Source organism: Homo sapiens, chromosome 1, assembly GCF_000001405.40.
Source record: "Homo sapiens chromosome 1, GRCh38.p14 Primary Assembly".
Taxonomy (NCBI): Eukaryota; Metazoa; Chordata; class Mammalia; order Primates; family Hominidae; genus Homo; species Homo sapiens.
Window position 1 is genome coordinate 236,043,058 of NC_000001.11, and position 25,479 is coordinate 236,068,536.

The following is a 25,479-nucleotide window of genomic DNA, read 5'->3' on the forward strand; positions in this document are numbered from 1 at the left end:
TGCGGGAAGGCTGGTGTACTCAGAGACGGCATAGAAACCCTGCCCCCTTACCCATACCTTGTCCTATGCCTCTCTTCCATTTGGTTGTTCCAGAGTTGTATCCTTTAGAATGAACTGGTAATAGTGAAGCATTTTTCTGTGTTATGTGAGCCATTCTAGCAAATTATCAAATCTGAGGAGCATGCCATGGAAACCCTCCATTTATAGCTGGTTGGTCAGAAGTACAGGTGGAAACACAGGACTTGGGACTGGCATCTGAAGTGGGGGCAGTCCTGTGGGACTGAGCCCTTAACCTGTGGGGTCTGCAGTAACGCCAGTGCTAGAATTGAACTGAAGTGTAGGACACCCGGCTGGTGTGCAGAGAATTGGTTGGTGTGGGAAAAAAAACCCCACCCATTTGGTGTCAGAAGTGTGAGTGAAAACATTGCAGACGTGGTTTTTTAGAAATCCCAACTCCAGGGCCGGGCGCGGTGGCTCACACCTGTAATCCCAGCACTTTGGGGGGCTGAGGAGGGCAGATCATGAGGTCAGGAGATCGAGACCATCCTGGCTAACATGGTGAAACCCCGTCTCTACTAAAAATACAAAAAATTAGCTGGGCGTGGTGGTGGGCGCCTGTAGTCCCAGCTGCTCGGGACGCTGAAGCAGGAGAATGGCGTGAACCCGGGAGGCAGAGCTTGCAGTGAGCCAAGATCGTGCCACTGCACTCCAGCCTGGGCGACAGAGCAAGACTCCATCTCAAAACAACAACAAAAACAACAAAAAAAGAAATCCCAACTCCATTGGCTGTGAGATCTTGGACTAGTCTCAGTTTACCTTTGGTGCTTAAAGGATATGGTGAAAAGCAAATGAGATACAAAATCCAAAAGCATTTTATAACTATAAAATATAGTAGAATATCCCTAATCTCTACTTCTTCCTCCACCATTTTTACCATTCTTCTGTGTCTGTGATTGGAAGTGCTCCTATCAGAAATTACATGAAATAATTATATTATACGGTGGACAGAGGGGACATACATTACTCAGTGGAAAATACTGAGCAAAACAATGGGGTGGGGTGGGGATGATAAATCACAAAAGTCCTGCATAAATAGGATGTCTAATCAATTTGTCTGCCTGGGATTCAAGTAAAGACAGTGGTGTGTGGGAGCTTATATGGACTAGCTTGTGAGAGCTGGCTGTTAAAGTTTTAGGAATTTTGCAAGCCAGTTATTAAACACAGCCATTCTAAACAATTAAATTACATGAACTTCCAATTAAACAAGTTATATTTTTTAAAAGGAAAAAATATTCAAAACTCATCATATTCTAATCCTTTTGCTACTGTCCATGCTCTTGAAATTATATATATTAAACCTATTTTATCTTTATGGTGAGAATATATATAATGGTGCATGTTTTCTGAACTCTTCAATGAGTGACATGACGTTAATAACTTGAACTTGGCCATCGTAGGAGTATTTACATCACAGAAACAGGCAAACGCTATAAATCAGGTTCCTCTGCCCTCATAAAACCAGTTGTTAAGCATTTACCAGCACATCACTAAGTGAAGGGCAGAGGAATTCAAGCTAGATTTGAAGATATAAAATTAAAAGGTGGTTTTAGGGGATTCACTCTTGGTTTTTAAAGAATAATGGGAGAGGAAAGGTTTTAATCTTCAAAATCCAATTTGGGCTTTTCCCTCTTTTGTCAAATTCTACAACATAACCTGAGAGCACCATTTCTGTTGTAAGAATATTCCCCCTAGTCAATGTGAAGGAAAAGGTTTTCTCAGCCTTGAGATCAAAGGAGATAGGTTTGAATAACCCTTATTTCTAACAGTGTTTATAGACAAAATGGTAAAAACTGTCTTAAGGCCGGGCGCGGCACTTCATGCCTGTAATCCCAGCACTTTGGGAGGCTGAGGTGGGCAGATCACCCGAGGGCAGGAGTTCAAGACCAGCCTGGCCAACATGGTGAAACCCCGTCTCTACTAAAAATACAAGAATTAGCTGGGCATGGTGGCACACACCTGTAATCCCAGCTACTTGGGAAGCTGAGGCGAGAGAATCACTTGAACCTGGGAGGCAGAGGTTGCAGTGAGTCGAGATTGTGCCATTGCACTCCAGCCTTCCAGCTTGGGCAACAGAGTAAGGCTCTGTCTCAAAAAAAAAAAAAAAAAAAAAAAAAAGAACTATTTTAAATGAGGATGATATCTAAAAAATAGGATATCTGTTCATTCTAAAAATACATTTCCTTAAGTTCATCAGAAAAAGAGTATCTCATAATATAAAAACTATATGCAAAACTTAAATCCATAGGAACATTTTTAGGTAATGATCTATAATACACATTACATTATCCACATTAAAAAATATTAAGAGGAGAATCTACTGAAGAACAAAGAAAGCATACTTGGCCAAATTTTCAACTGATTCCCTGTCATTAGCAAATATGTTATAAGCTCCGTTGCTCTTCCATAAGAATCCCACTGAACCTTGACTGAATGCAACCACGGCAGGAACTTGGTTGTTTTCCTTCTTTGAGAATGTCGTATGGAACTGCAGACCATCCTCAGGATAAAGGAAAATGGCATAGGAGCTGGAATCAGAGGAGGCTAGAACAGCCTGGAACGTGTTTCTCTGTGAAGATGAGTTAAAATTCAGTTACTCGGAAAAATATCGATAGATTTTAAAATGTGTTATTCGCCAGACTATCTATAAAGCGTACAGTGCTATAGAGCGATGGCAATATTCTCACCTTATTCTAAAAGAAGGACTTTTGTAGCAAGAACCTAGGATTCTGGGATAGTTCCACTGAAATATCCCTAAGGCTATGTCAACATGACATTTTCTGATTAATTCATAAATATCTTCTGCATAACTGTGGCCCTAAGGTTAACCAAAAATTATACAGATGGTACCTCCAGATGGTGGCCTAAAATCTCACGCAGTTTAGGAAATTCTTACCCAAAGACTTTGTTTCCATGGCTGTTAACATATTCAACCGCATTCATCGTTTAACAAACATTTATTGAACCCAAGCACCGTACAGTAGAAAAAACAAAACAAAACATGAGATTTGGGAGAAAACAGACCTGGATCCAAATCTTTGCTCTACTCATTATTATGTGACTTGGGCGTGATACTTGAGTTCCCTAAGCCTCGATGTTTGCATCTGTAAAATGGAGATAAAACCACCTCCTTCACAGAAATGAGGAAGACTACATGAGGTCACGTATGAAAGAGCAGGCACATGCCGGGCGCGGTGGCTCATGCCTGTAATCCCAGCACTTTGGGAAGGCTGACATGTGAAGAAAACATTGCAAAACCTGAGGTTGGATTCTGTAATCGAAACATTTGCAAAGCGCTGCAGGAGCCGTAAGAGGAAGCGTCCCATGCCAGGAGCGGTGGGAGTGCATCCCATGCCAGGAGGCTGTGGTTGGTCAAGGCCTCACGGGAGGGCCCAGTCTGAATGAACAAGCAGGAGGAAGCTGCCACCTGTAGGGGGGTCAGGGAGAGGACGTCCCAAACAGAGAGGACAGCCTGTGCAAGATACTGCGGATAAAAAAAAAAGAGCAAGGGCAAGGTCAGGGAATTACATGTAATTTGGTATAGCGGCTGCAAAGGGTATGCGGAGGTGGAACAGATTAGGCCCAAGAGGCAAGCAAGGGATCCATACCAATGGGTTAGGCATTTATCACCCAAGTGAAAGGGAGGCAGCTGAGACACTTAACATTTAAGCTGTTTTCAAGTTTGGCACTCAGACAGATAACAGTTGGCAAGCAAAATGTGTCATGCAGGCCCCTAACAGACTTTCCCAAAGTGTGCTCTGTGGGATGTAATGCATCTTTTTTGGAGCGGGGGAAGGGAAGAGGTATGGTCACAGGTTTGGAGACTGCTCAGTTAAACAATATTCGGCAAGGCTGGAATGGTGGCTCACGCCCTTAGTCCCAGCTACCTGGGAGGCTGAGGCAGGAGAATCACTTGAACCCAGGAGGTGGAGATTGCAATGAGCCAAGATGGCACCACTGCACTCCAGCCTGGGTGACAGAGCAAGACTCTGTCTCAAAACAAAAACAAAAACAAAAACAAAAAAAGTAGTATTAGGCAAGTTGCAAGTTTCCTGACTGCAGGACTTTTCAGAGTGAACAGGGTGAATCACCAAGAGGGAGATATAGTTTTAGCATTTCCCAAACTAGAAGGCCTTTTCCTCAAGGTGTATCTTGTAGGACTGGTGTTTTGTGGTACACACTTTAGGAACCACCAGCCTGAAATACCTCCCATTTATATGAAGTGCTTTGGGACCCTTCAAGTTTCTTTCTTCCTCATTTTCCTATAAAGGTGAAGTTATGGTAGAGAGAAATTATTTTTCCAAGGGAAAATCGAGGCCTGTCCTAAAAAGTCACTTCAGGTCTAACAACGAGTTCCTGACCTACTCAAAGACCCTGCTTCCTTCAAGGGCAAGTCCGTGCTCTACAGCCTGGTCCTTCCAGCCGTCCCTGATGACTGCGCCCACGGAGAGGCCAACCCTGGGTTATGACAATACTTGGGTTTTGAACCACTCACATGGTCCAAATGATTCTTGTCTCCCCAACTAGAGTCTGGGCTTTACCTTTCTATCTTTGCATCCCTCAGGAGTACTTTGTTATTTTAACCTATCGTTTCATATTAATAATTTCTCTAGTCAGAAACTATCCTTCCAGCCGGGCTCGGTGGCACACACCTGTAATCCCAGCACTTTGGGAGGCTGAGGTGGGTGGATCATTTGAGGTCAGCAGTTGGAGACCAGCCTGGCCAATGTGGTGAAACCCCATCTCTACTAAAAATACAAAAATTAGCCAGTGTGGTGGCCCATGCCTGTAATCCCAGCTACTCGGGAGGCTGAGGCACAATAATTGCTTGAACCTGGGAGGTGGAGGCTGCAGAGAGCTGAGATTGTGCCACTGTACTCCAGCCTGGGCAACAGAGCAAGACTCCATCTCAAAAAAAAAAAAAAAAAAAAAAAAAAGGCCGGGCATGGTGGCTCACGCCTGTAATCCCAGCACTTTGGGAGGCTGAGAAGGGTGGATCACGAGATCAAGAGATAGAGACCATCCTGGCTAACATGGTGAAACCCTGTCTCTACTAAAAATACAAAAAAAACCAGCCGGGCGTGGTGGTGGTCGCCTGTAGTCCCAGCTACTCGGGAGGCTGAGACAGGAGAATGGTGTGAACCGGGGAGGCGAAGCTTGCAGTGAGCCAAGATCGTGCCACTGCACTCCAGCCTGGGCGACAGAGCGAGACTCCATCTCAAAAAAAAAGAAAAATAAATAAATAAATAAATAAATTATCCTTCCACTATCTGCCACCTGAGGTAAGAGCAGCCAGGGGATGCCATTTATCAACCCTATTTTTGCCACATAGCAGTCTTACCAGGAATTGCTTTGCTTTATGTCTACTTGTCATTAAAACGTAGAGTTATACAACCTTGCAGATAAGCTTTTGGAGGTTTGGGACCTGCAATAACCAGCCTACTAGATTTTGCTTTGGATTTCCTGTCTTTATCAATGGTGTATAACTTATGTCAAAGCAGCACAAGGCGTGAGACCAAAGTGTATGAAGCCAATGTGTCTGATTACCTGCACTTGGACCTGGAGGGGAGCTTACCTTGCCTTTCTGGTCTGGGTCCCTGCTGGGCCCTTGGTAGGGGGCCACGGATTCCCAAGTGACAACCACCGCGCTACTAGGCTGGAAAGAGATCTCCGGGAACCCTCTGTGGACACACTCTGCTGCTCGCTGAGTGATGGAGGGGGATAAGTCTTCTCGATAATAAACCTTCCCCAGGCCATCGGTCGTGTCCAAGTCCGCCAGGAAAGGGGCGACTGCACCGAATGTTGGTGGGAAGAGCCCGGGATGGGATTCTTTGGCCGGGGGTTCACTCGTAGCAATGATGCCATTTGTGGTGACCTGTACAAAACCAAGTGTGGTTAAAAGGAATGCAGAAACGGGTCCTTTCTCAGTAAGACTGAGCACCCACTCCTAGAATACTGTCAGCTGTACCCATGCTGTGTAGAATACAACAGAATCTGAGAAAGATACGAGCCTGAACCGCATACCCCAGCATTCATTTCTAGGCAAAATGGGCTGTGTGGAAAGAGAACAGGAGTCATTATTCAAATCCTAGTGAATTTACTCGAAAAAGGGAGTAATCACTCCCTACCAGGACTGCTAATTGGTGTGCGTACAAACATGGTTAGGAGCCTGGGCATCAAAGTGAGATCCCATCTCTACACAAAAATACCAAAAATTAGCCAGGCTTGGTAGCTCGGGCCTGTAGTTCCAGCTACTTGGGAGGCTGAGCTGGGAGGATGGCTTAAGCCCCGGGAGGTCAAAGCTGCAGTGAGCCATGATCACGCCAGTGCACTCCAGCCTGGGTGACAGGGTGAACCCTTGTCTCAAAAAAGAAAAAGAAAGAAAAGAAAAATGGTTAAGGTCCAGCCCCCACCTTTTAAGAAATCCACAATCCAGAAGGATAAGGGAAAGGACTGACACAAAGAGATGATGACACAATATAGCATCAAGAAGCAAATCTGTATGGGGCATTATGGTATCACTAATTATTTTAAAGTTTAATGTGTCAGGATAATAGCTAATATTTACTGAATACTCACCATATTCCAGGCATTTTTACTAATGTCTAATGCTCAGAAGAACCTCTTAAGACTAGGTACTACTGGCCGGGCGTGGTGGCTCACACCTGTAATCTCAGCACTTTGGGAGGCCGAGGTGGGCAGATCGCGAGGTCAGGAGTTTAAGACCAGCCTGGCCAACATGGTGAAACACCATCTCTACTAAAAATTCAAAAATTAGCCGGGCGTGATGGCGGGCACCAAATCCCAGCTACTCGGGCGGCTGAGGCAGGAGAATCACTTGAACCCAGGAAGCGGAGGTTGCAATGAGCCAAGATTGCACCACTGCATTCCAGCCTGGGCAACAGAGCAAGACTTCATCTCAGGGGAAAAAAAAAAAAAAAAGACTAAGTACTACTAATATCTATATTTTTCTGATGGGGAAAATTAGGCAAATTCATCAATGTGTCCAAAGTTACCAAGGAATAAGTGGCAACACTGGGATTTGAACCCACGGAGTCCGACTCCAAAATTGGTCCTTTTCCAAAATCAGTCCTTTTAATTACTTCATGAATTGCCTTCTTGAAATCAGTTATAACTGCTTATTAAAAGATATCACTGGCCAGGTGTGGTGGCTCACGCCTGTAATCCCAGCATTTTGGGAGGCTGAGGCGGGTGGATCACCTGAGGTCAGGAGTTCGAGACCAGCCTGACCAACATGGTGAAACCCTGTCTCTAATAAAAATACAAAATTAGCCGGACATGGTGGTGCACGCCTATAATCCCAGCTACTCAGGAGGCTGAGGCAGGAGAATCGCTTGAGCCTGGGAGGTGGGGATTGCAGTGAGCCAAGACTGCACATTGCACTCCAGCCTGGGCAACAAGAGAGAAATTCCATTTCAAAAAAAAAAAAAAGATATCACTGTTCTTACTCAGCTAAAACCCATGCTCCTTGAGAAAATGGGAAGAGGGCCCCTGAGATACTGTGGCAAACAGCCCCTTGGAGTGGGGGCACTCAGGCTCACCAGTGAAGTCTAACACCCTCTCACTTTCTTGTTAGTGCACAATCCACTGATGACATGGAAGACCAAGCCAGTGATAGTTTTCCTTAGATAATCTGTGAATTGAAAGAAAAAAATCCCCTAGCTGGGTGCAGAGGCTCACGCCTGTAATCCCAACACTTTGGGAAGCGGAGGTGGGTGGATCATTTGAGGCCAGGAGTTCGAGACCAGCCTGGCCCATATGGCAAAACCCCGTCTCTACTAAAAATACAAAAAAAAAATTAGCTGGGCATGGTGGCAAGTGCCTGCAGTCCCAGCTACTTGGGAGACTGAGGCAGGAGAATTGCTTGAGCCCAAGAGGCAGAGGCTGCAGTGAGCCGAGATTGCACTGATGATGCACTCCAGCCTAGGCAACAGAGCAAGAGTGTCTCGAAAAAAAAAGAGAGAAAGAAGAAGATTCCCTAATCAAAAGGGAGAGATTTTGCAAATGGCACTTTATTTTGCTCTTTAAGGGCTGCAGATTGGAAAAACACGAATCCAGAATAGCAACCCTCAGTTGTTAGAAGGCCAGTGGATTTTCCAGGCCACTTATTTCCCTCCCCCTCCCCCTGCCCCTCCCCCTCCCCTCCCTCCTCCTCCTCCCAGAGTCTTATCCCTCAGTCACTTCACACTTCATTACTAGAGGAGAGTGCAGGGGCAGAAAAAAAGAGAGGAACTAAAGACCAAACTCTAAACATGCCAAAAACTTGCTATTAATAAAAAGGTTCAATGTGCAGAACCGATTGGCACCCAGGTGAGGATTGGAACCAGGGCTCTGGGAGTGAAATGCAGACTTAACAAAACTTTCTCTTTTAACCACATGTTATGGGCTATTAACTCTTTGGGTGACATATTTTCCATCATCACCCGGCACCAGCAAGGCTTTTCTAGAAGATACTGGCAGGCTGTGGAGAAGGGAGTCAGACACGGGGCTTCTTCCAGCCGGTCCCTCTGTCTCCCTTCCAGGGACCCAAACATCTCCCAGCACAAGCATCCCAGGGAGCTGCCGTGTGGGAGCGTGGGAAACGGCTCACTCTCTCGAGCCGCCAGAAGTTGGCAGTAAGCAGTTGGAAGTGATCACAGGGAGGCCACATCCAGACAATTTAGTTTTAAAAAGCTGCTTTCCAGTGAAATTTAAATCAGTCCATTAATTTTGAAAACACTCTCAGTGTCTTTTATTATTTGGAATCTAGGCATGGGAATATTTCTATTTTCACAAGGAATGTTTTAAGAGTCAGGTTTTAGGACAAATGTCATGCAGCACTGCAAATGCTTTGGACAACGGTCATATAACCCTCATTAGTATTTGCATTGGAAAATTATTTTTCAGCTAATTTTACTGAACATTCAGCTCGATCGTCTGTGATAATGAAGAAGGATGACTTCAAAGATAAATGTAATGTGCAGAACAGCCAGAAGTTTCACTGGATTCTTAGCTTTAAACTTCTCCCTTGTAAACTTCATTTTCCTGGAAGTAACAGTTAATAGCAAAGTTGATGAAAAATATTCCCGTCCACTTGGGTGCAAGTCTCATTTTGCAAAGTCTGTCAAATGCACGATGCTCCTATCAGCCTTGTTCCTTTTCTCCATCTTTTGAAAGTACCATTGGACAATTCAACAGCAGAAGGGCAGGGAGCAAAAAGGGAAAGGACACAGGCACTCAGGCAGGAGGAGGCACAGACTCAGGCACAATCCCCAAGGGCACTGGGCCGGGGAGTCCTCGGGCCCATGTGACCACTGATGCCCAGGCCATCACCAATATTCGCTCAGTTGGTGAAGCCAGGAAACCTGGAAGTGGGTCCTGGTTCCTTCCTCTTTCTCACCACCCACGCTGCATGTCCTGTCTCCAACTACAGCAGGTCCTCAAATAACTTCATTGCATTCAACGTTGTTTTGTTATAACGTTGATGAGAAAAAAAAAATCTATTCCCTGCTGGAGCCACCGTCTGTGTGGGGTGTCCGTGTTCTCCCCATGTCTGCATGGCTTTTCTCTGAGTACTCTGGTTTCCTTCCACATCCCAAAGCTATGCCAAAGTCGGGTGAACTGGCATGTCTAAACTGTCCGACTGTGAGTGAGTGTGGGTGTGTGGGAGCCCCCTTGTGATAGGACAGCAACCTGTCCAGGGTGGCTCCTGCCTGGCACACTGAGCTGCTGGGATGGGCTCTGGCCACCCTCCTCTCTGAACTGGAATAAGCAGCTGGAAAATGAATGAATGAATGAATGAATGAATACAAATGATCACAGAATGAAAATGTATCAAGTACGAGTAATCACACCAATAAATTATGCACCAATGAATTATACACCAACAAAAGTACTCGGCAAGCTGCCGGATTTGTGATTGTTTGTTTTTGAACTTCGTGGGTCAGAAGTGTTGACAATGTTGCTTTGCAAACATTTCTTCCCTGATTGAACCCACTACCATCATGACCTCCATTATTCACTGATTCATCAAAAATTGGGTAAATAATATCTTGGTTGTTTTTATTCATCTTAAATGTATGTAGAGCTCACATTTATTTATTTCAATGTTTAATACTAGAAGTGTTTTGGGCTTCATGGGAAGTTTGGTGATGTGTTTCTGACCAGAAATAAGCCATAGGAACTTAAATGTTGTTTCTGTCAATTACCCGACAGTCAAATCGGTTTAGTTATGCATGTTTAGCTTGAAGCCACAGTATCCAAGAACCTATCCACAATGTTAAGTGAGAAGCTACTGTATATGGCACTTTCTCCATCTCAGCTACCAACAGCACGCCCCCGCCCAACCCCACCACCTCGTTAGTCACATGACTGTCCCTTCTTATCCTTATTCCTCAGCTGAAACAGTGCCTTCTCAGAGAGCTTCCTGGCATCCCCTCCAGTGGAAGCTCCTTCCACTCACTCTTTTTTCCCTTCCCTCACACCCCCAGCCCCTGATATGTCTTCTTCCTGCCTATTTGTAGGTTCTGGCTTCTCTCCCCACTATGTGGTCATTTCTTCACGGTCAGGGACTCCATTTGTCTTGGTCACCACAGTAGTTCCAGAGCTTACACATGGTCTGATACATATGAGTCTCCCCACTTCCTGACTTCCTCCAATATAGGGGACAGGCAGGTTCAAAGCAGGATAAGACCTGTGCACCCAGGTTATTTTAGAAATAAGGCCTGAGGGTGAGCTCAGTTGTAAGTGATATGAAGGGTCAGAGAACTGTGCATTACTGCCGTTCTTGCCACTGGAGTAAAATGCCAATTACTAAAATAAAATAAATAAAAAGTGCATAACTTGAATTCAGTCATGTCTCCAGATCTAACTGCCAGTTTACAGGAAATACAGGAGACAGAAGAACATGCTAATGGACACAATGGGATGCAATCAGCAAAATCCAGAATATAAAGCACTAAAATGGAGAAATATCTAGTTTCTTGAACAAATAAATTTTAAAGAAAAAAAAGAGCTGGGGTTAGGGGAGGACCTATAGATTTTAAAAATTCTAAGAGATGGCTAGGCGAGGTGGCTTGCTCCTATAATCCCAGTATTTTGGGAGGCAAAGGCTGGCAGATCACCTGTGGTCAGGAGTTTGAGAGCAGCCCGGCCAACATGGTGAAACCCTGTGTCTACTAAAAATACAAAAATTAGCTGGGTGAGGTAGCAGGTGCCTGTAATCCCAGCTACTTGGGAGGCTGAGGCAGGAGAATCGCTTGAACCTGGGAGGTGGAGGTTACAGTGAGCCGAGACTGCGTCATTGCACTCCATACTGGGCTACAAGAGCAAAACTCCATCTCAAAACAAAAGTCCTAAGAGACACATCTACCAAATGTAATGTGTGGGCTTTGTCTGGGCCCTGATTTAAACCAATCACCTGAAAAGCAAAATAAAACATTTCATGAAACCATTTGCATATTGGACAATATTAAGGAATTATTATCATTTCTTAAAGTATGATCATGATTTTACTATTTTGTTTTTTTAAAGAATTTTTTTTTTTGAGACAGAGTCTCGCTCTGTCACCCAGGCTGGAGTGCAGTGGTGCAGTCTCGGCTCACTGCAACCTCTATCTCCTGGATTCAAGCAATTCTCCTGCCTCAGCCTCCCGAGTAGCTGGGACTACAGGTGTGTGCCACCACATCTGGCTAATTTGTATATTTTTAGTGGACACAGGGTTTCACCATGTTGGCCAGGCTAGTCTGGAACTCCTGAGCTCAAGCTATCCGCCCGCCTCAGCCTCCCAAAGTGCTGGGATTACAGGTATGAGCCACTGTGCTCGGCCTAAAGAGTCTTTTCTTCTGAGGCACATCTGAAACATTTACAAAACGATAAAATATTTGGGATTTGCTTAAAAATAATTCAGGGCCGCGTGCGGTGGCTCACGCCTGTAATCCCAGCACTTTGGGAGGCCGAGGTGGGTGGATCACGAGGTCAGGAGATCGAGACCATCCTGGGTAACACGGTGAAACCCCGTCTCTACTAAAAATACAAAAAATTAGCCGGGCGTGGTGGCGGGTGTCTGTAGTCCCAGCTACTCGGGAGGCTGAGGCAGGAGAATGGCGGGAACCCGGGAGGTGGAGCTTGCAGTAAGCCAAGACCACACCACTGCACTCCAACCTGGGCGACAGAGCAAGACTCCATCTCAAAAATAATAATAATAATAATAATAATTCAGTTTGGGGATGGGGAGGGAACATTAGGAATAAGTGAGGACATCAATGAAAGAAGATTAGTCTCAAATTGGTACTTGTTGGAGCTGGTAATGGATACATGGGAGTTCATTATATTTTTGAGTATATTTGAAATTTTTCATAATAAAAGTTTATTTTTTAAAAACATATAACAGGTCTGGTGCAGTGGCTAATCACACCTGTAATTCTAGCCACTGGGGAGGCTGAGGCATGAGAATCACTTGAATCCGGGGGGTGGAGGTTGCAGTGAGTCAAGATCACGCCACTGCACTCCAGCCTGGGTAACAGAGTGAGACTCCATCTCAAAAAATAAAAATAGAAAAAAAAAACATACAACAAACCTGATTGATCTGAAGTTCAGCAAAGAAAGGCAAATGGCTCTAATAGATAAGCCAAGACTAACGTTCTCTGTCAGTAGGGCCTGTGGCTCATTGTCCTTGTTTTTATTTGGTTTTGTTTTTCCAGGTTTATTGAGGTATAACTGATAAACAAAAGTGTATAAGTTTAGGGTGTACAACGCGATTTGATACAGGTATATGTTGTGAAATGAATAGCACAATCAAGTTGGTTAGCAAAGCTATTACAGATAGCCGTGATAGATCAACGGGACAGAACTGAGAGCCTAGAGGTGAACCCACACATTTACGGTCAACTAGTGTTTGACAGGGCCACCAAGAACACACAATGAGACAAGGTAGTCTCTCCAATAAACAGTGCTGGGAAAATTGGATATCCTCCTGCAAAAGAATGAAAATGGACCCCTATTTTATAGCACTCATAGAAATTAACTCGCAATGGATTGAAGAATTAAATGTAAAACCTGAAACTATAAAACTCCTAGAAGAAAACAATAAGGAAAAACTCCTTGATATTGATCTTGACAATTACATTTTGGACATGACACCAAAAGCACAAGCAACAAAAGCAAAAATTAAGAAGAGGGACTCCTTCACTGTCTTTTTGTGTTCGTGAAGACCCACTTTATTATTTTATTTGTATTGATGCATCATATTTGTACATATTTATGGGGTACACGTGGAGTATATATTTTGATACATGCATACATACAATGTGTAATGATCAAATCAGGATAATTAGGAAATTCACCGTCTCAAACATTTATCTTTCTTTGCATTGGGAACATTTCAAATCTTCTTTTCTAACTATTTTGAAATATACAATATTGGTTAACTATAGTCACTCTACTCTGCTACCAAACACTAGAACTTATTCCTTCTATCGAACTGTATGTTTGTACCCATTAACCAACCTCTTTTCGTCCCATACCCTACCCTTCCCAGCCTCTGGTAACCACCATTCCACTCTCTACGTCCACCCTTCATGGTCTTTGAATTTCTTCCTTCCCCAGACTTTCCTACCACTGCCACTCCCCTCCCAGGGACACAGGAGTGTTAGTTGCACTGGGCACATTAGACCACATTAATGAGCAGAAGGTGGTGCTGGTAAAAGCAGATTTTGTAATTAAAACTAATCAAAAGTTACAGAGCCTGAGGCACCCCATACAGTGCCCTGAGTCCAGGAAAAAAAAAAACAAAAACATGAAGCGTAAGTATTGCACGGCAGTTACCAGTATCACTTTCTGTTCACTACATTTGTACTAGTTTAAAAAGTACACGATGGCTCATGCCTATAATCCCAGCACTTTGGGAGGCCAAGGCAGGTGGATCACCTGAGGTCAGGAGTTTGAGGCCAGCCTGACCAATATGGTGAAATCCCGTCTCTACTAAAAATACAAAAATTAGCCAGGCGTGGTGGTGGGTGCCTGTAATCCCAGCTACTCAGGAGGCTGAGGCAGGAGAATCGCTTGAACCCGGGAGGTGGAGCCTGCAGTGAGCTGAGACTGTGCCACTGCACTCCGGCCTGGGAGACAGAGAGAGAATCCATCTCAAAAAAGTACATGGATTATGGGATCGCACTTTAGTTTTTATGAATGTTGGTGAGTAAAAGGCTAGAGGAGAAATGTGCCAGAAAAAAATTTTAGATTGCTTTTAATTCTCCAAACTCTCCATGGTGTCTCTCCTAGTTAACACTACATGCTTTTGGATCTATGATTCCCTCCTTCTTGAAAACCTCCTCAGCTGGGCGTGGTGGCTCACACCTGTAATCCCAGCACTTTGGGAGGCTGAGGCGGGCGGATCACCTGAGGTCGGGAGTTTGAGCCCAGCCTGGCCAACATGCTGAAACTCTGTCTCTACTAAAATTACAAAAATTAGCCGGGCGTGGTCATGCACACCTGTAATCCCAGCTACTCAGGAGGCTGAGGGTGCAGTGAGCCGAAATCTCGCCACTGCACTCCAGCCTGGGCAACAGAGTAAGACTGAAAGAAAGAAGGAAAGAAAGAAAGACGGAAAGAAAGAAAGAAAAAGAGAGAGAGAGAAAGGAAAGGAAAAAAAAGAAAAGAAAAGAAAAAAAGAAAAAGAAAACCTCCTCAAAAAACCTTCTTGATAATTCTCAGCTCATGTGCTTGGCAAAGTCTTATTTTCCCTTGTGAAGGCTTTCTGACCTCCCAACCAGGGTTTATCACATGTTTCTTTCTGTCTGCCCCTCTCTCTAAGTTTGCAATTGGCATCTTGACCCCTCACTTAGGGATCCTGACTCCCAATGGCAGCAGCACGTTCCTTGCTGTATTGATCATATCGCAAAACCCTCATGGGGTGAATGCATTTCTGAGAAAGCCCATCTGAATCACTGAGAGTGCTGCTGATGATAATAATGTAATATTATCATCTTAAGGTAACTTAAGGTAACCAAATATTGCCTAGGTGAGGTTCTTTGTGAATTTGCATTAAGGAGTAAAAACTTGTTTACTGAAAAACAGCTATTTCCAGCATGTTGAGCAATGTAAATATTTCCCTGAAATACTGCTTACAACATCAGTTCACACTGAGAAAAAGTTCCTTTAGCAAAGTTAAACTTCAGCTCACTATGTGGCTAGTAAAACTAAATGCCCCTTTACAGAACCATGTCTTCCCACTCACCCCAAGAAACACAACAAACAATACGGCTTTTCATCCAGCTGCCCTAGGGCAGAGCATGTCAATTAGATCACAAAAAAACCCAGGGTGAAAATGCCAAGCACCACATGGGTAACAGCTGGAACCACTTATGTACAATTGTTTCAACCCAACTGACAAGAAGGGGATGGACAGAGCACCTAACTTATAATGGGAGGGTGTTTCCCATCTTAGAAAGCACTTCCTGTCTCATTTCATCTTTAACGTGAACTTTCAGATAGCATGAATCACCGGAGAAAGTCTATATGCAGATGCTCAATAAATTTAAAATTTATGTTAGATTTCTTATGTCCAAATACTCCCTGAAAAAGTGAAACAACAGCCACTTGGCCGGGGGCTTAGATGAGCCTAGTAACAGGCTGCTTTCTGCAATAGTCTAGGGGGAGCCTTCTCCAAAACATGTGTGTTTAGAGAATACTTGAGGTAGAAACAAATAAGAAACAAACAGGGTCCTTTTACAAATACAAATCGCTGTACTGAGAAGACAGTGAGACTTGCAAAAGCAAACTCCATGGGTGAGAGGCAGCAGGAACTTAAAATAATTTAACATAAAGAGTGGAAATGCAGCAAACATGGGCTGTCACCTAATGTTGAGGTCCTTTACTAAGGCTCTTTTTATCTTTTAAAATTTCATGTGACAGGCATTTAGTACAACCATCCCTCTTTTCGCATACTTGAAACAGACAAGGAAATGATGAGAGATTTTAATTTAGCTTTAATGTCACACAGCCAGTAAGTGATAGAACCAAGAACGGAACACACATTTGCTGGAGTCCGTAACCCGTGCTCTTTCTGTTACACTTGGCTGCCTAGTTTAGAGACACTGGGGGCAAAAGTCATGCAAGTTGCAATGTTTTTTGGGATGGCTTCAAAGTTAGTGACTGGGTAGCTACAAAAAGCTGGAAAACAAAATGAGTCCAAAAAAAAGTAAAACACAAAAAGGAAGTCCAGAAAATAGGCAAGTCCGGGACACAATCAAGGTGGAGACTGATTAATTTCAGCCTAGAGCCCACAAGTGGACCTGGAGCCTAATCCGTTTGCAAGGTGCTTTACAGTTTACAAAGCATTTTTACTTTAGTTATCTCATTAAACCTAGTAAAGATTAATACCATTTTCATTCTTCATTTGAGAAAAAATGAGTTTTAGTTTATATAACTTGCCTAAGATCAAACACTAGAAGTGCCAGAACAGAACTCCAAGTCCAAATTGCAAGTGATCCCCATTAACCCCACAGAAGAAATGACTCTGGCATGAAATAGAAATAGAAACAAAAGGATTAGTAAATAAAGCTTAGGGACAATCTAAGGATTACTGGAAAGGGGTCCCGATCCAGACCCTCAGAAAGGGTTCTTGGATCTTGCACAAGAAAGAATTCAGGGCAAGTCCATAAAGTGAAAGCAAGTTTATTAAGAAAGTAAAGGAATAAAGAACAGCAGCCGGGCGTGGTGGCTCACGCCTGTAATCCCAGCACTTTGGGAGGCTGAGATGGGAGGATCACGAGGTCAAGAGATCGAGACCATCCTGGCCAACATGGTGAAACCCCGTCTCTACTAAAAATACAAAAATTAGCTGGGCGTGTTGGCATGTGCCTGTAGTCCCAGCTACTTGGGAGGCTGAGGTAGGAAAATTGCTTGAACCCAGGAGGTGGAGGTTGCAGTGAGCCGACATCGTGCCACTGCACTCCAGCCTGGTGACAGAGTGAGACTCAGTCTCAAAAAAAAAAAAAAAAAAAAAGAATTGTTACTCCATAGACAGAGCAGCCCCAAGGGCTGCTAGTAGCCCATTTTCATGGCTATTTCTTGATGATATGCTAAACAAGGGGTGGATTATTCATGCCTCCCCTTTTTAGACCATATAGGGTAACTTTCTGACATTTCCATGGCATTTGTAAAGTGTCATGGTGCTGGTGAGAGTGTAGTAGTGAGGATGACCAGAGGTCACTCTCATCGCCGTCTTGGTTTTGATAGGTTTGGCCGGCTTCTTTACTGCAACCTGTTTTATCAGGAAGGTCTTCATGACCTGTATCTTGTGCTGACCTCCTATCTCATCCTTTGACTTAGAATGCCTTAACCATCAGGGAATGCAGTCCAGTAGGTCTCAGCCTCATTTTACCCAGCGCCTGTTCAAGATGGAATTGCTCAGTTCACATGCCTCTGACATAAGGGTAATAGAGATGAGTCAATATTTTCAACTTAATCCAGTTAATGTCCAAGTGACTTTGGATCAGTTACCCCTCTCTTCTGCAGAAAATTTCTACCTGAGATTACTTTCCAACATTTAAAAATGGTTGGGGCTTTTCCGATGGTAGTGGGTTATCTGAACTTATTAGCATTAGTATCACTAAAGTTGATATACAAACCCCCCAGGCTAAATTAGACTGGGCAAAAAAAAAAAAAATCTGTTGGGTTCTTTAAATTTTAACTACGGGTGTGTCTATCAAAGAAGTAGCCCTTGAGGATGCAACACCAAGGGCCTTGGGGTGTGAGACCCCCAATCTCTGGGGAGACACATGTTTCTCCTTAACAACCTGAATATAGATATCAGAAGTTTACCTGTGGCAATTGGAGCCTAGTACTGTATTACACAAATTCCTTAACTTAAACATAAAAAATTACAGGAGAAGAGTTCAGCATTTATCTGCCTTTCCAGAATGAACAGTATATCAGTGTTACCCAAAAGTCATGGTTGATGAGGAAAACCTCTTTACAGAATATGCCAGCTAATAAATGCAGAAAGAATGACAGAAACAAGCAACCAGCAAAATAAAATAAAACATCATCCTGCAAACTTTAATTTAATTACTGTTTCAGGCAAAGATCATCGATAGATGCTAAAACCATTAGGTGAAAGATTAGTGGGCAGGAAATAGATGATAAGGCCAAAATGAGTGTCACCCCGTAGCTCAGTTGCTGCTCACCTGGGGAAAAATATAACTTCACAGGCATGATCTGGCTGTAATCTCCTTAACACCAGGTATTAATCTTAGCGTGGCAAGCCAAGCAATAACCAGACATCACTTGCCGGCTAATGTTATCCAATGTGAAAAATACAGCTTCGTTTATGAAGGATTCTTCTCTTTTTTTTGTTTTTTTTGAGACAAAGTCTCAGTCTCACTCTGTTTCCCAGGCTGAGTGCAATGGCGCGATCTTGGCTTACTGCAACCTCCACCTCCCAGGCTCAAGAGATTCTCCTGCCTCAGCCTCCTGAGTAGCTGAGATTACAGGTGCACGCCACCACACCTGGCTGTTTTTCGTATTTTTAGTAGAGATGAGGTTCCACCATGTTGGCCAGGCTGGTCTCATTTATGAAGTATTCTTGTTGAAAGATGAGGCCCTTCTCAACAATTAAAAAAAAAACACGATTTTTTTTTAATGACCAAAGGATTTGAACAGGCATTTCTCCAAAGAAGAAACACAAACGGCCAATGAGCACATGAAAAGATTCTCAACATCATTAGCCATCAGAGAGATGCAAATCAGATTCACAACACAGCACTTCACACCCACTGGGATGGCCATAAATCAAAAAGTCAGAAATAAGAAATGTTGGTGAGGACGTCGAGAAATCGGAACCCTCATATATTGTTGGTGGGAATGTCAGATGGTGCTGTCGCTTTGGAAAACACTTTGACAGTTCCTCAAAATATTAAACATAGAGTTACCATATGACCCAGGAATTCCAGTCCTAGGTATATACCCAAGAGAAATGAAACTTATATCTACACATTTGCATGTATACCTCTTCTCGAAATGCAGTTTGTCTCAAAGACACCTTTTTATGGCCGATTTGTCTTAATCAGGCTGAAACAAAGTCCTCACTTGCATTTGGTCAGCAAGCCTCTGAAGTCTCTTTTGATCCACACCAGGTCTCCCTCCTTCTTTTTCCCCACCATGCCATTTATTTGTTGAAGAGAATGATAATCTTTTAAAGTTAAATCGTGTCAGCCATCTACTTAGAAATCTCTAATGGCCGGGCATGGTGGCTCATGCCTGTAATCCCAACACTTTGGGAGGCCAAGGCGGGCGGATCACCTGAGGTCAGGAGTTAGAGACCAGCCTGACCAACATGGAGAAACCCCGCCTCTACTAAAAATACAAAATTAGCCAGGCATGGTGGTGCGCGCCTGTAATCCCAGCTACTCGGGAGGCTGAGGCAGGAGAATCTCTTGAACCTGGGAGGCGGAGGTTGTGGTGAGCTAAGATTGAGCCACTGTACTCTAGCCTGGGCAACAGAGCAAGACTCTGTCTCAAAAAAAAAAAAAAAAAAAAAAAGAATAACCAAAAACTGATATTTAGCATTTCCTTTAATTATGAATGCAGGCAACAAAGCAGTCACTAATAGAAGTCACAGATATTTTCATATCACATCATAGTTGCTGCATGTGTCTCAGAATATTGCTCATGATCTTCAAAGTTCAATCGTTACCTGAACTGCCCTTGGATCCACTGCTACACCTTGTTATTTAATGTTGTTAAAAGTAAGCATATAGGCCAGGCGTGGTGGCCCACACCTGTAATCCCAGCACTTTGGGAGGCGGAGGTGGGTGAATCACGAGGTCAGGAGTTCAAGACCAGCCTGGTCAACATGGTGAAATCCCGTCTATACTAAAAATGCAAAAATTAGCCAGGCATGGTGGTGCGTGCCTATAGTCCCACCTACTCAGGAGGCTGAGGCAGGAAAATCGCTTGAACCTGGGAGGTGGAGGTTACAGTGAGCCAAGATCTCGCCACTGCACTCCAGCTTGTGCAACAGAGTGAGACTTCATCTCAAAAAAAAAAAAAAAAAAAAAAGTAAGCATATATTGGGCCAGGCATGGTGGCTCATGCCTGTAATCCCAGCACTTTGGGAAGCTGAGGTGGGCAGATCATCTGAGGTCAGGAGTTCAAGACTAGCCTGGCCAACATGGTGAAACCATGTCTCTACTTAAAATACAAAAATTAGCCAAGTGTGGTGGCAGTCATCTGTAATCCCAGCTACTCAGGAGGCTGAGGCAGGAGAATCATTTGAACCCAGGAGGTGGAGGTTGCAGTGAGCTGAGATTGTGCCACTAAACTCCAGGCTGGGGGATAGAGAGAGACTCTGTCTCAAAAAAAAAAATAAATAAATAAATAAATAAATAAAGTAAGCATATAAGCATATATAGTACATAAGAGCATAAGATGTGTGTTTTTTTAATATTTTGATCTGTATTTCAACATAATTGCCTTCCTTGGTCATCTTGTGGATTTTATTTTATGCATTTAAAACTTTATACTGCCCAGCATGGTGACACTCGCCTGTGGTCCCAGCTACTCAGGAGGCTGAGGCCAGAGGACAGCTTGAGCCAAGGAGTTGGAGGCTGCAGTGACCCAAGATCGCACCGCTGCACCCAGCCTGGGCAACAGAGCAAGACCTCGTCTCTCTAAAAACTAAAATAAAAGCGTTATACTGAAAAGGGATCCACAGGCTTCACCAGTGTGCAAAGGGGCCAGGGCAGTCAACCAACATGGGGGAGGGCTCTTTGTGGATCCAGACTTGAAGGGCTCATTCGTTTTAGGCAAAGCCTACAAGTTCCACGTGAGTGTTGTCTAAGGCGCAGTGTTCCCAGGCCAGACCGGGAGCACAGCCATTTCACGGGCAGGACAGGCTGCAGCCGCTGCGTTTGCAGTTCCAACCCCCTTCCCCCGGCCAACCCCCCACACTTCTGGAATGCACACAAGCCTTATATGAAATCCACATGGTGGGCGGCCGAGGAAGGCAGCGGCACGAAAGGACTTCAACAAGTTGACAGCGACCCCAGGCCCGGCCAGTCACGGGGAGGATCCAGGGAGCTGTAGGTCATCTGGTCCCGCTCCTCGTTTGGGGCCTCCGTGGTGACAATGCCTGGCCACAGGAAATGGGATCACTGGGAGCCCTGTGTTTCCCGCTCTGGACTCTGGACTCTGAAACGAGCCCAACTGGAAAGCAGCATCACTGCCAAGACACATCCGGAGTCCACACACAAATACAGGAGGCTGCCGGCGAAACTCTCCCGCAGCCACAAGAGTCCCGGGGCCCGCGCGCAGACTGCGATCCAGCTCCGGCTCTTGCCCTGCGGAGGCTCCGCGCGAGAACCTGGCTCCACCCGGGACCGGCCAGGTCCTAGCCCCGAAGGGACTGGACAGCCGAGGGACGCGGACTGACCTCCCTGCGGCGATGCAGCCCACAGCCGCCGGGGAGGAAGCTCCGCGGGGTCCATGGGTGCCGGGGTCACGGCCCGGGGCGCGCGGAGCCACCCAGACCCCGCGACCCGCTCTTCGGATAGCAGGGACCGGGTCGGGAAGACCTTCGCGGACCCTGCAGAGGCGGGAGACCCTGCGCCGTGCCCGGTGCCCCGGCGGCCAGCGGGTCCGGGTCCCCGCCTGCTACGCCCAAGTCCGTCCGGCTCCACGGGCGCCCCCGGCCCGCCGCGCCCTGCAGCCCCTCGCCCGCCCTCCCGGGGCTCACTCACGTAGACTGCGTCGATGTCGGATCTGTCGTAGAAGCGGAGCGCCCCACTCAGCTCCAGGGCAGGAGAGACGAAGTCATCCCCGTCCTCCAGCTCCAGGTCCCCCTGTCCGGGGCCGAAGGGAAAGAGCTCCTGGCGGCTCAGGCAGCCCACAGGCCCCGCCAGCAGCAGCGGCAGCAGCAGCGCCCGCGTCCACGCAGCCCGGATCCGGCTGCTCGAGGCCAACATGTTCCCGAACTGCGGTCCCGCAAACCCGGTCCCGCGGCCAGGACAGAGGAAGGCGGGGATGTAACCGGACGCCCCTGGCAGCCCCCTCTCCTCCCGCCTCCCGGCGTTCCCACCCCGGGAAATAGGGGAGGGGAGCGGAGGGGAGAGCGGAGGGCCCCGCCCCGTCCAGCGGGCGCGCCGCGGGGCAGCCCAATGGCCGCGAGGGGGAGGGCGAGGGGCGAAGCCGAACCTCCCGCCTTGGGCGCCGGTGCCTGCGATTCTCGAAACCAGCCCGACTCCCAGCGAACGGCGCCTCCGGGAGGGGGAGCAGAGCGCGGGACCCGCACCGTGGTCCTCTGATTAGGGTTGGGTCGTGGAGAGCCGGCGACGTGGAAACGCTCCGGATTCAGGAACGGCGCCCACCCCATTGCCGCTCGGCCGCGTCCGGGGTCCAATTCGCTTGACCCTGGTAGGAAGACGGGGTGGGAGCTGGGAATCAGCCAAGGGACAGAGCCACCAACACGTTCATGGGCTCATCCACCCATTCATTGCGCGTTTTTTGAGTGCCTGATCCTGTGCTCCCTATTGTGGAGGTTCGCCAGGAAACGGGGTCTCACCCTCCGAGGCAAAGTCACCAGTGTACAACACAAGCCAGTGTCAGATGGGGGCCCCAAGTCATCAAAGACATTAGGGCTGGAAAAACTGGCGGGGAAAGCTGCAGGTGGGACGGCGGGAATCAACCCGGGTGCTCTGGAAGGAATGGGATGTCATCAGGCGGCAGAGAAGGGAGGTGGAGGACCGAGCTGGGTTTATTCAGGGCACCATCCCCCAGCAGAGGATGTGGGGAGGGACCGGTTGAAGTACAGCCTTGAATCACAAATTTAGGAATTTGAATTCGCTCTGTCACTCGGAGAAGAAACTATTGAAAGTTCTTGACAAAGGGAGATAAGCGATTTAAGTGGTATCCTGAATAATCGGTTGATCGTTACTTTGGCACTAGGGTGAAAGTAGAGACAGGTAAGTTATTAGAGGACCAAGTCTAAAACATTGAAATGAAAGAAGGAGCAAATCCTGATTATAAGATTGGCATTGAAGAGGAGAAGAAACGAAGTTAAAATTGAGTTCAAGGGTTTGCACTTGGAGGACTGGAAAACCAGTACTGCCTTTTGACGTCAGGGAAGAGGATCTGGGACAGCTGGAGTTGGATATGTTTGATGTCAGACCTATCAGCGGTCAACAGGACGTCCCCGTTTCCTGTCAGCAGCTAAAAGTAACGACCTTGAACCTAGTTTATAATAATTTTTCAGAAAACAGCAAATTCTGTATAAAATTTAGGGGGCATGAGTTCTGAACCAGCAAAGACAGGAAGAAAAAGCAAAGGAAACATGCCTTCTAAGCAAAACACTTTTGATTTACTCATGAGAACTTGTCTTTTTCTTTTGAATTCATTCGCCATCAGAAATAACATTTATTACCCATCAGAGACAGCATGTGTTCTACAAGTATTCATTCATTTTGCACTCACAGTAACCCTAGGAAACAGACCTTCCCTGTTTTACAGAGAAGGGGCATAGAGGCCCAGAGAGGTTAAGTCATGTTGCTAAGGTCATGCAGCTGGGAGCCGGTAAGTGACCCTAGGTGTTCCAGCTGCAAGGACCCCACTTATAACCACTGCATTAAGTGCCCTCTGTTTACTACCTTTTACTGCAGCCTGCAGTCTGTTGTCAAATATGGTGCTTTTCCTTCAGTTCCCTCCCAACAATACAGCACTGTGAGCCCCCAGCCTGCTCCCCAGAAGCACTTCTGACTCTACTCTATGCCATCTGTGTTTCTGACTATTTCTGGGCTTCTGGGCCCCAGCACTGCCTGTTTCAGCTGCTACAGGATCTCTGTATGGAGATTCTTCTCTATCTTCACCCGCACGTGACACGGGCCCCACGACTTCCCCATGCCCTGTGGTTGAGGGAAACCCCAAGCTCAGTAGGCCTTTTTTGGCCTGTGCCTTCAACACTCCTCCTTCAAAAAACCCCACCCCAGCCTCTGTCACACATCAGAGCTGTCTCTGAAGCTGTAGTCTGTGCCTGGAATGCTCTTACCCTTCTCACGAATTCTCTCCCTTTTTGGTACTCAGGCAGCTTCTGAAACTCCTATTGGTCCATCCATGGGACTTTCCTCAGCAACTACAGGAGGAGAGCAGTTCTCTACTTTGCTGGTTCAGCACAGCCTGAATCCAACCTGGCTGAGGTCAAGGCTCTCCATTTACTGGCTGTATAAGCACGGGCAGGTTTCTAAGCTTCAATATCCTTGTCACTTGTATGGGATGTTCATAGTTAAAATCGAAGGATTGTCGTGAGGATTAGATAAGGTGATTCATTAAATGCTCCTAGCTGGGCACAAAGTAAGTATTCCGTTAATATCAAACCATCGTTGTTACCTAAATGTACAGTTTTCGTGATTCTTATTATGTCAATATTTACTGAGAATCTACCATGAGCCAGATTCTATACTAGAAATTCAAAATGCCAAGACCGTTAAGGCACAGTCCTTTCTTTGAGAAGCTCACAATCTATCAGGGAGACAAACACAACAATAACAGTGCGATGCTTTAAGAAATACACAAACCAACAAGAGATATCGCTTGTTGAATGCTGCTTCTGCTAGATGCTTAATGTAGCATTCAATTTAATACTAATAACTGCACAAGCTAGTAGCCCTATGTAGTGAAAACAAGGTTTGCAATGATTAGATAACTTGCCCAGTTTTACACAGGTAGTGAAAGAGCTAGGATTTGAATCCAGTTTGTCCGACACCAAAGCTATTATTCTTTCTGCCGCGCCATCCTGCCCATCTATGGAAGGAAAGGTTTCTCCCTTTATTTCCACCCACAAGATCTATTTGCTCCATTGTTTATACATAATGCTCACGATCTATCTGTGCATGCTTGTGCTCCTTTATTTCATCAGTATCTCTTGGCCTGAGTAAGTCCAGTATATACGGTAAATTCTCTGTCATTTACTATTTATAGCCCTGCACTCGCCTCACATTGCCCAGTCCTTGTAGGACGTAATATTGATGCTGTGTCTCCTACTAGGACAGTGTGTCCCTGTCACTCCTTTAGAATTAGTAGTTCCAAACACATTCATCATCGAATACTTACTTTTATATTGTGCTCTGGACATTTTCTAAGTGTATATAATAATTCGGTCTTTTTCTCTAGTCATTTCGTATGTTTTTCGGGGATAAGAGCTCATTGGGGGCAAGGCCCATGTGCTTTATTTGTTTTCCTGACTTCGCAGAGCCTAGCCCAATGCTGCATACACATTAATAATGTGCACAGTTCTTAACCATTTAAGAACTCACTGATATGTTTAAGAATCATCTGATATCTGCAGTACCAATGGTACCCATAATTCTGTAATATACCAGCTTTAAAAAAAAATGAAACCTTGCTCTTTTGAGATTTATACTCTTTTCTTGA

General features: G+C 45.5%; 1 protein-coding gene across 1 annotated transcript in view, besides 4 other annotated features; it reads right to left on the reverse strand.

The window, feature by feature from the left end:
* Positions 1–22,033, reverse strand: part of NID1 (nidogen 1) — an 89,261-nt gene extending 67,228 nt beyond the window's left edge. The window contains exons 1-3 of the mRNA NM_002508.3: positions 21,798–22,033; positions 5,633–5,932; positions 2,400–2,626 (exon numbers count right to left, since the gene is read on the reverse strand). Coding sequence (NP_002499.2) covers positions 2,400–2,626; positions 5,633–5,932; positions 21,798–22,022 — 752 coding nt within the window. The 5' untranslated portion in view covers positions 22,023–22,033. The remainder of the gene's footprint in view (positions 1–2,399; positions 2,627–5,632; positions 5,933–21,797) is intronic.
* Positions 15,092–15,629: an enhancer, noted in NCBI's record as "NANOG hESC enhancer chr1:236221449-236221986 (GRCh37/hg19 assembly coordinates)". NCBI's record gives its function as "activates a minimal SCP1, AML or CMV promoter by ChIP-STARR-seq in naive H9 embryonic stem cells {active_cell/tissue: H9 hESC(naive)}" and the evidence as "EXISTENCE:reporter gene assay evidence [ECO:0000049][PMID:30033119]".
* Positions 20,974–21,163: an enhancer, noted in NCBI's record as "active region_2812". NCBI's record gives its function as "activates an Ori minimal core promoter by ATAC-STARR-seq in GM12878 lymphoblastoid cells {active_cell/tissue: GM12878}" and the evidence as "EXISTENCE:reporter gene assay evidence [ECO:0000049][PMID:35858748]".
* Positions 21,504–21,643: a silencer, noted in NCBI's record as "silent region_1995". NCBI's record gives its function as "represses an Ori minimal core promoter by ATAC-STARR-seq in GM12878 lymphoblastoid cells {active_cell/tissue: GM12878}" and the evidence as "EXISTENCE:reporter gene assay evidence [ECO:0000049][PMID:35858748]".
* Positions 22,074–22,293: a silencer, noted in NCBI's record as "silent region_1996". NCBI's record gives its function as "represses an Ori minimal core promoter by ATAC-STARR-seq in GM12878 lymphoblastoid cells {active_cell/tissue: GM12878}" and the evidence as "EXISTENCE:reporter gene assay evidence [ECO:0000049][PMID:35858748]".